Here is a 10,529-nt window from a genome sequence, read left to right on the forward strand (position 1 = left end):
GTATTTTTAGTAAAGACGGGGTTTCGCCATGTTGGCCAGGCTAATCTCGAACTCCTGGCCTCAAGTGATCTGCCCACCTCGGCCTTCCAAAGTGCTGGGATTATAGGCATGAGCCATGCACCCGGCCCTGAAATGTTGACTTTCATTTCCACCCAGCAACTGCAACTCTTTTAGACCCGGAATCCCACTGTGCTTGGAGCGGTTCAACAGCAGGTACAGAAATATCTTCATTTGCCACCTGCTCCACCCATGGGCTCCTGTGCTATGCATCTGAAACTGGCACTTGCTCTTTTTTGACAATTTGTTTGTCACATGTTTGTTCTCTTGTTCCTCTTCCCCCACCTCCCCGCCCACGCATAGCTTCGAGTTAGAAAATTGTGTGTTCAGATGCCTTGATCCTTCAAGAGACATTTTGTGACTATGAGCTTGGCCAAGTTGGATCTTTCAAAACCTTAAAAAAAATGTCATCTATAGATGCCGGTCAGAAAATCTCAGCCAGTTACCACGACCTTGCTTCTACTTAGGTCCTAAATACACTGCTTCAATTTCTTTCAGGTATCTCAAATACAATCCATCCATTCTGGAATAAAATGAATATATCTCTATTGATATCTCTTTATCCCAAACAGCTGACTGCACGAATCTTTATTGAGTCTTTGTTATATAGTGGCACTGCAGTTTACATACAGTATTTAATCTTCACAACAACCCTATGAGGTGGATATTATTAATATCCCCTTTCAACAGATGAAACTCGGAGAGGTTACATCCTTGCTTAGGTCACACAGCTAATTATAGTGATAGGGCTGCAATTTGGAACTCAGTCTGTCTGTCCTCAAAGCTTGTGGTTTTAAAACTTCTGCTACCCAGCCTCTTGCTTGCTTAAGGGCAAACAAGAACAAACCTCCCCAGTCTTAATCACTTCCTGATTTGCAAAGATCATGGCGCTAACCTCTCAACTCTCATGAGTGGAACGGTGGGCACTGAAGAGCCAGCTTCCTCTTTGGGTTGGAATATTAGGTATGAAGCAGTGGTGCTGATAAATGTTTCACAACTGGTTGGGGGTTTAGGGGACAGGGGTAAAAGTCCTGCTTTCTTGTGTTTCCCAACCTTCGTGGTGTGAATATCCCCACTGTGGCTGACTTTAAGCTAGCAAATGTGAGGTCACTGAACACAGAGATAAGAAGAAATGTGGCCGGGCACAGTGGCTCATGCCTGTAATCCCAGCACTTTGGGAGGCTGAGGGGGGCGGATCACGAGGTCAGGAGATCAAGACCATCCTAGCTAACATGGTGAAACCCCATCTTTACTAAAAATACAAAAAAATTAGCCGGGTGCGGTGGCGGGTGCCTGTAGTCCCAGCTACTCGGGAGGCTGAGGCAGGAGAATGGCGTGAACCCAGGAGGAGGAGCTTGCAGTGAGCCAAGATCACGCTACTGCACTCCAGCCTGGGCGGCAGAGAAAGACTCCATCTCAAAACAAAAACAAAAACAAAAAAAAAACAAAACAGAAGAAATGTGCACAATTGGCTCCTGAGCCTGTAGGAGCCAGCTCCAGCACACCACTGGGTGGACGAAGCCAATTTCCCTCACTGTTGGAGGACCCAACATCTGTGGCACCACAGCTGAGCTTTTCTATGTTTAGAACAAACCACATCCCAACCCCTAAGGGCCTATGGGGCTCATGTTAAAAGTCTCTGGTCCATGACTTGAGGCTCAAAATCTCTTATGCAGCTGTTGAAGGTTTTCACAATGTGGCCTCCATCCACCTTTTGAAGTTCCCCACTAGTTCTCTGTGTTCCGGCCACAGAGGCTTCCAGTTCCCTTCTTTCTCTTGCCCCCTGGCCTTTTCAAACACTGGTCCCTGTGGTGGGAATTTCCTTCCCAGGCTTATCTTCCGCTAGTCTTCCAACAGGCCCCTATTCTTGATTCAGTCTCAGCTCACATGCCACTTCCTCAGGGAGGCTTTCTTAACCACTGTCTTTGATTTGCTCCCAATCCCCATGTATGTCTCTGACTTAGCCCATTTTGCGCTGCTGTAACAAAATACCACAGAGTGAGTTATTTACAAAGAACAGAAATTTATTTCTCACAGCTCTGGAGGCTGGGAAGTTCAAGTTCAAGATGCCTTCAGGTTATGACCCAGTCTCTCTGCTTCCAAGATGGCACCCTGAATGTTTTGTCGTCTGAAGGGGAGGACACCGTGTCCTCACATGACAGAAGAGGAGAGAGAGAGAGAGAGAGAGAGAACCCATTCTCACAAGCCCTTTTTATGGACTCATTAATCCATTGATGATGGCAGAGCCCTCACGACCTACACACCTTCCATCAGGCCCTACTTCCCAACACTGTCGCATTGGGGATTGAGTTTCCAGCACATGAATTTTGAAGGCCACATTCAAACCATAGCAGTCTCTTTGATATGAATTAATCACAATATCATCATTTTTGTGCACTGAATATCTTACTTCTTGGATACAACTCTAATGACTCGCTCAGGGCCTGGCACATAGTAGGTGCTCAATGAACTGTGAGTAAGCAAACCTTTGCTGAATGGGGCTCAGTCAAACACAATTTCATATGCCCTAAACAACTCAGCCCCTCTCCTGGTTCTTATCTGCCACGCCTTAGCCACTCACTAAGTGTTTACTGACTTGAACTTGGCATATGACTCATAGTTAGAAGACCTCAGTGTTTCTTTCGAAAGTATAACTCCACTGTCATGCTCCCCTCCATAGCTGGGATTTTACAGTCTTCTGTTGTCCCCAAGAATAATGTTTAAAAAATAATGTGGCTGGGCACGGTGGCTTACGCCTGTAATCCCAACAGTTTGGGAGGCTGAGGTGGGTGGATCTCCTAAGGTCAGAAGTTCAAGACCAGACTGGCCAACGTGGTGAAACCCCATCTTTACTAAAAATACAAAAATTAGCTGGGCGTGGTGGCATGTGCCTGTAATCCCAGCTACTCGGGAGGCTGAGGCAGGAGAATCGCTTGAACCTGGGAGGTGGAGGTTGCAGTGAGCCAAGATCATGCCACTGGACTGCAGCCTGGGCAATGACAGCAAAACTCTGTCTCAAAATAATAAAATAAAATAAAATAATAATAATAATGTGCAACAGGGGAAACAAAACCACATTACTCTGTGTGTGTGTGTGTGTGTGTGAGAGAGAGAGAGAGAGAAAGAGGGAGAGAGAGAGAGAGAGGGAGTTCACAGCCTCTCCCTCTCCTGTCTACTAAGATAATTATGCGCAGGCTGGCAAAGTGTCCCATAGGACTGGGAAAAGGCAGGAGAGGAGGCAAAATGTAAAAGCCAATTGGGGCTGGGTTTTAAAAGTCAGTTTTGGGGGACATGTGGAGAGAAAAGGAGCAAGTGCAGGGACCAGCTGCTCTAAGAGCTGAATGTGAGTGTGAATATGAGATGTATGGAAAGAGAGGTGGAGAAAATGGATTTCCAAATTTTTGGCTCTGTGTCAGGACTGAAATTTCTTTTGGCATTTTCCCCCCCCAAGAAACTAAAGATTTTAAACCATTGTTGTTTTGACTATTATTCTTCTTGCTGTTGTTTTAATGTAATGCTGGAGGCAGGCAGGGCCCAGTACAAGAACAAGGAGATCATTTGTATGTGGGAGTGGAATTTAAGACTTTACCAGCTGCAAGAACACAAACTCTAAACTGACATAAGTGCAAAAGGAATTCTGCAAGTTCCCCAGATTGAGAAGTTCAAGGATGGATGTGGCTCTGGGACGGCTCTAGTGGAAACAGATTCTGATTGGCCTGGCTTGGGTCACATGCCATTTCCTGAGCCAATCGATGTGGTCAGAAGAATGGGCTACTGTCATTGGCCTCTCTGGGTAGAATGCCCATCCCGGGGGAGAGGGGTAAGGGAGTATTCTGATTGACAGCTCCTCCAACTATAGGAACTGGAGGAAGATTGGTTCCTCAGAGGAATGGAGGCTGCAGAGGCAAACGGCATACACCCACTGCTGGGTTGCAGAGGAGGAGTCCTTAGAGATCATCCCCACCAACTTCCTACCCTGAAAGTCTACCCTCTTCAACATCCTGGAGAGACCAGCTGGATGCTGCTGCTTGGACTCATTGGGGGACGAGATCCTGCTATCTTTTGGGGCTGCCAATTCTGTTTGTGAACAGTTCTAGTTAGGAACATCGCCCTTACTTTGACCTACCTCCTTGTAATTTACCCTAGTCATCTAATTCTTCCTTTTGGGGCCTCACAGAAGAAAACAAAGCCCTTCTCCCCATGCCAGCCTTTACAGATGTTAAGTCTCAAGATCCTTCTTGTAGATGGTGCACAGATGACAGCCAGTTTCCTGGTGTAAGAGCACCAGCCTGGGAACCAGGAGACCTCAGTTCCAGCCCTCACGCCGGCTTTAATGCAGCGAAGTGGCCTTGCTTGGAGGGAGGTATACACAGTTCCCATTTCACAGATAAGGATACTAAAGTAAAGGGAGGTTAAGAGACATGCCCAAGGTCACACAGGTGGAAATGGGGAAGCTGGAACTCACATCCAGGACCACACAATTCCAAAGCTTCTTTCTTTATCACTCTGTGGTCTTGAGAAAGTTACATCCTTTCTCTGGGCCTCAGTTTTCTCATCTGTAATTTGGGAACTTTCATGTGTATTAGAATCACCTGGCTGGAGTGCAGTGGCATGATCACGGCTCACTGCAGCCTCAATCTCCTGGGCTCAACGATCCTCCTGCCTCAGCCTCCTGAATAGCTGGGACTATAGGTACATGCAGCCACACCCGGCTAATTTCGTTTATTTTTTGTAGAGACTTGGTTTTGCTGTGTTGCCCAGGCTGGTCTTGAACTCCTGGGTTCAAGTGATCCACCCGTTTGGGCCTCCCGAAGTGCTGGGATTACAGGCGTGAGCCATAGCTGGAGAGCTGGTTAAGACACAGGTTGCTGGGGTTCATCTCCAGAGTCCCCGGTTCCATTTTTTTTCTGAGGTGCGGCTTAAGGATTTGCATTTTAACCAGTTCCCAGGTGATGCTGGTGATGATGGTGCTGCTAGTCTGGGTTCCACACTTTCAGAAACACTGTAGTATTTGATCCCAGCTCTAACATACTATGATGTGGGGTGGTGGATATATTTTACCTTTCCATTTAGTTTGGGCTTGGACCCCTATTTTTATTATTTATTTATTTATTGAGACAGAGTCTTGCTCTGTTGCCCAGGCTGGAGGAGTGCAGTGGCGTGATCTTAGCTGATTGGGTTCAAGCAATTCTCATGCCTCAGCCTCCCAAGTAGCTGAGACTACAGCTGTGCGCCACCATGCCTGGTTAATTTTTTTGTATTTTTAGTAGAGACGGAGTTTCACCATTTTGGCCAGGCTGGTCTTGAACTCCTGACCTCAGGTGATCCACCTGCCTCGGCCTCCCTAAGTGCTGGGATTACAGGCGTGAGCCACCGCACCCGGCCAGTTTGGGCTTAGACCGGTATTAAATGGTGTGTGTGTGTGCGTGTGTGTGTGTGTGTGTGAGAGAGACAGAGAGAGAGAGAGAGAGAGCGCGCGAGCAGGCAGCCACCATTTTGCTCCACAGTAAACTTAATTCCAACAATTGTTGAATGAAATTCAAATAGGTAAAGAAGTGAAGAGAAGAGTTTGAAAATTTGAGTGTAAGCTTTGACTCCCCCAAAACTTAACTACTAATAGCCTACTGTTGATCGGAAGCCTTATTGATTACATAAACAACATATATTTTGCATGTCATATATATATATATATATACTGCACTCTTACATATATACTGTACTCTAGTAAACAGAGAAATGAAAATGTTATTACGGAAACCATAAGAAAGAGAAAATACATTTACTATTCATTAAGTGGAAGTGAGTCATCATAAAAGTCTTCATCCTCATTTTCTTCATAATGAGTAGGTGGTGGAGGAGGAGGGTTTAGTCTTGCTGTCTCGGTGGAAGAGGCAGAAGAAAATTCACATATAAGTGGACCCTCACAGTTCAAACCCATGTTCAATGGTCAGTTGTATATCAGTGGTTGCCAGGGGCTGGGGAAAGGGAGGGGTATGGGGAATGGTTACTAGTGGGTAGAGTTTATTTTCCAGGTGATGAAAACGTTCTCAGATTAGAGAGTAGAAATGGTTGCATGACTTTGTGAATATATTAAAAAGTGTGCATTTTTAATGGTGGATTTTATAGTATGTGAATTATATCTCAGTTGCGGGGTGGTCTCTAGGGGTGCAAAGTTTTGAGGGTGGTAGAACTGGGATTTGAACCCAAGGCCATGTGGCAGCCTAGGAAAGAGCCTGTGATTTCAGATCTTGGCTCAGCCCTTCATCTCGGGCCAGCCTTTTCTGTCTCAGCGGGCAGTGAGGCGTGGTGGGGGTGGGACATTCCCTCCAGGCCCTGGCGTGGAGGACTCCAAGTGTGGCCCTGCTCAAAGGATCCGAGGGAGCAAAGGCGCAGAAGAAGCGGGAGAGGAGGCGAGGGCCATTCTTATCCAAGAACCCCCTCTCCCTTTCCTGTAAGAACAGCTAGGCTCTTTCCATCCCCGCCTTTATCTGCTCCTTCCAGGCCTGGGAAGGCCGCTGGCGCTTGACAGCGGTTCCCAGGCGCACTGGCCGCCGGGCTTGCAGGGGCAGGCACGGTGCGCGCCCAGACTTTTCTGGGAAAGCGTGCGCGAACCTGCTGCCTGGCAGCTCGGTGGCTGGGAGCCCAGCCCTAGCTCACAAACGGGACTCTTCTACGCCCGGTGGGGACTCTGGTCCTACCCGTTGGACCTTGTGGGCCTACTACTGTGTGCTACATCCTCCTGTGATTCTCCTCCCTTTAGAAAATTCTTTCTGGCTCACGCCTGTAATCCCAGTATTTTGGGAAGCCGAGGCAGGAGGATCGCTTAAGCCGGTGAATTCGAAGCCAGCCTGCGCAACACGGTGAGACCCCCGTCTCTACAACAAAAATAATAAATTAGCCAGGTGTGGTGGCATGCAGCTGTTGTCCCAGCTACTTGGGAGGCTGAGGTGGGAGGATTTGTTGAGCCAGGGAGGTCGAGGCTGCAGTGAGCCAGGATTGCACCACTGCTCTCTAGCCTGGGCCAGACTGTGAGACTCAGCCTCAAAAAAAAAAAAAAAAGTTTATTTTTCTTCTTATCTCTGTCTTTCTAATAATAAATTTTAAATTACACAGGCAATCGATGAATTCATTTTCCTTTCAACACATTAAAATAGCACTGATTCATCATTCCCCTATCCTTTCTCCCCTCCCTCTCAAAAGTAATCATTATTATTATCAGTTTGGGAGCAATATTTTCAAATCTTTTTCTATAGGCCCATAGAAAATACATCATACTGTACATCCCTGTGTGTGTTTTTTTTTTTTTTTTTTTTTTTTTTTTTTTTGATACTGAGTCTCACCCTGTCACCCAGGCTGGAGTGCAGTGCCACGATCTCAGCTCACTGCAACCTCCACCTCCCAGGTTCAAGCGATTCTCCTGCCTCAGCCTCCTGAGTAGCTGGGATGCCCGCCACCACACCCAGCTAATTTTTGCATTTTTAGTAGAGACGCGGTTTCACTGTCTTGGCCAGGCTGGTCTCAAACTCCTGACCTTGTGATCCACCTGCCTTGGCCTCCCAAAGTGTTGGGATTACAGGCGTGAGCCACCTCGCCCCGGCCCTGTGGGTGGTTTTTATATGAATTGTGTCATACTCAGTTATTATGCCTCCTGCTTCCGATATTTTACTCAACAGAACTTCCTGGAGAACTTCCCATAAGAGTACCTGGAGACCGCCTGCCTCACTGCTCAAGGTACATTCCATGGTTCATGTGTGCCTTATTTTATAAACTGTTTCTCAATGGATGTGTGGATATTTAGACTATTTCCAGCTTTTCGCAATAAAACACTCCAATGATTACTTTTGTAATTGGCCCCATGTGCACTTAAGTGTTTGTTTTTCTGAGGGAGATAATAAGGAAACATGAGTCTGCTGGGCCATAGGGTGTGTGCATTTTATTTTATTATTTTATTTATTTATTTTGAGACAGAGTCTTGCTCTGTTGCCCAGGCTGGAGTGCAGTGGTGCGATTTCGGCTCACTGCAACCTCCGCCTCCTGGATTCAAGTGATTCTGCTGCCTCAGCCTCCCGAGTAGCTGGAACTACAGGCGTGTGTGCCACCACACCCAGCTAATTTTTATATTTTTAGTAGAGACGGGGTTTCACCATGTTGGCCAGGCTGGTCTCAAACTCCTGACCTCAGGTGATCTGCCTGCCTTGGCCTCCCAAAGTGCTGGGATTACAGGCCTGAACCACTGCTCCTGGCGGGGTGTGTGCATTTTAAAATTTAACAGATACTACAGATACTGCAAGTCGCTCTCCATGGTGGCTGAACCAACTTCCTACCGGTAGGATATATGAGACTATCCTTTTCCTAACATCCTAGTCAATCCTAGGTCTCAGCCAGCTTATAATGTTTTGCCAAGAGAGGTTTCTCACTGTTGTGTTCATTTGCGTGTTCATGGGCTTTTTCTAGAAGTTCCAGGTTGCTGGTGTGGGGGAAGAACTCAGGAATTCGGGTCAGGCAACCTGACTATCTGCTGTGTGACCAACACTAGACCCAGCCCTGTCTCCATCTGCTGTGTGACCAATGCTAAACCCAACCCTGTCTCCATCTGCCTAAGAATCTTGGTCAAGAGCTTCCTTTTGGTCCTCTGTTTCTTCATTTTTGAGGTCAAAGTTTCTTCCTCTCTAGGAGTCTGTTCTTCTTCCTCCGGCCCCTGCTGGGACTCTGGAATCCCTGAGTAAAGCAAGGCGTTCAGAAGCTCCTCCACTGTAATGCACACGTGTTCTCACTGGTGGACAAATCTTTAACTCTCCTGTTGCTCACTGAATAGTGCTCCAGAGATGTTCTGACCAGCATACAGCAGATGACAGGGACAGGAAACCAGATGGAAAGGGATTTATTATAATTTTTCCTTCACAAAACTATACTTTAGAAAAGTGAAACATGCTGAATGCCGAAAATTGGGAAAGTATAGAAAATTATAAAGAATAAAAATAAAATATAATCTCACTCTGCAGAGAGACTCATTGCTACCATTTGTGAGTTTAGTACATATACAGTATTTTATATATATGTTTAGTAGCTCACATTATATCATGAGTATGTCATTTAAAATATTTTTTAAAGTTTTAACTAAGAAAATTTGTTTTAGAGATGGGTTCTCGCTCTGTCACCCAGGCTGGAGTGCAGCAGAACAATCATGGCTGCCTGAAGCCTTGAACTGGGCTCAGGCGATCCTCCAGCCTCAGCCACCCAAGTAGCTGGGACTGCAGGCATGCACCTTCACACCCGGCTAAGTATTTTAATTTTTTAAGAGATGGAGTCTTGTGATGTTGTCCAGACTAGTCTCAAACTCCAGGTGTCAAGTGATCCTCTCACCTTGGCCTCCCAAGTTAATTTTTTTTTTTTTTTAGACGTGATCTCACTCTGTCATCTGGGCTGCAGTGCAGTGACACAATCTTGGCTTACCGCAGTCTTGACCTCCGAGGCTCAAGAAACCCTCCCCCCTCAGCCTCCTGAGTAGCTGGGACCACAGGCGTGTACCACGACTGGCCAATTTTTTGTATTTTTTGTAGAGATAGGGTTTCACCATGTTTCCCAGGCTGGTCTCAAACTCCTGAGCTCAAGCGATCCATCCACCTCAGCATTCCAAAATGCTGGGATTGCGGCATGAGCCACCATGTCCAGCTATTTTATTTTATTATTATTATTTTAAATGACTTTTCAAAAAGGCTGTACCAATTTGGGTTCCCACTAGAAGTCGTGGATTGGTGAATTTTTAAAGGAGCAGTGTGGCCCTCATCAACCTGGACGCACACGCTGGTCTCTAAGGCATGGAACAGTTGTGCTGGGAGGGAGCTCCTCTGAGAGGGTGGTCAGAAGAGCCCCCAGGCATCACCTCCACCATGAAAGCTCACCCCTCTCCCCTAAAGCTTAGATAACCAGCTGCATTTCCTAAGAGTGAGCACCAGGGGGCACCACATACCAAAGGAAAGTGGTCCAGACTGCGAGACCGCGGATTAGACCAAAGAGATAACGTTTTTTTTTTCTTAGACTGGGGCCCTCCAAGGCAGAGAGAAGACCAACTCTCCTGGCTTCCTTGACATTCTCCTTACCTGACGTTCTGCAGCCTCTTGGGAGACTCTCGGATGTACCCATAGGAGGCTGTGGGAGACAGAGGGTCATGTCCAGAAGGGAAATGGCAGTGTATGGCGTCACAGTAAGAGCTGGGGCAACTCCCCCGCTGTGTCTTTGATGTCTTTGCATCACCTTTCCAAGCCTCAGTTTTTCTCATGTGTCAAATGGGAGTGACAATTTCCTGCCTCGCTTTACTCTGTGTGTGTGTGTGTGTGTGTGCGCGCGTGTGTGTGTGTGTAACTTATGCCAAAGTGCTTTGAAAAACCGAGAAGTGGGAGGGGGGAGGGATAGCATTAGGAGATATACCTAATGTTAAATGACGAGTTAATGGGTGCAGCACACCAACATGG

The 10,529-nt window shown here is 46.8% G+C and overlaps 2 annotated features.

Moving 5' to 3' along the window:
* Nucleotides 1,965-2,054: an enhancer, noted in NCBI's record as "active region_390". NCBI's record gives its function as "activates an Ori minimal core promoter by ATAC-STARR-seq in GM12878 lymphoblastoid cells {active_cell/tissue: GM12878}" and the evidence as "EXISTENCE:reporter gene assay evidence [ECO:0000049][PMID:35858748]".
* Nucleotides 10,119-10,228: an enhancer, noted in NCBI's record as "active region_391". NCBI's record gives its function as "activates an Ori minimal core promoter by ATAC-STARR-seq in GM12878 lymphoblastoid cells {active_cell/tissue: GM12878}" and the evidence as "EXISTENCE:reporter gene assay evidence [ECO:0000049][PMID:35858748]".

This window comes from Homo sapiens, chromosome 1, assembly GCF_000001405.40.
Source record: "Homo sapiens chromosome 1, GRCh38.p14 Primary Assembly".
In the NCBI taxonomy this organism is placed as follows: Eukaryota; Metazoa; Chordata; class Mammalia; order Primates; family Hominidae; genus Homo; species Homo sapiens.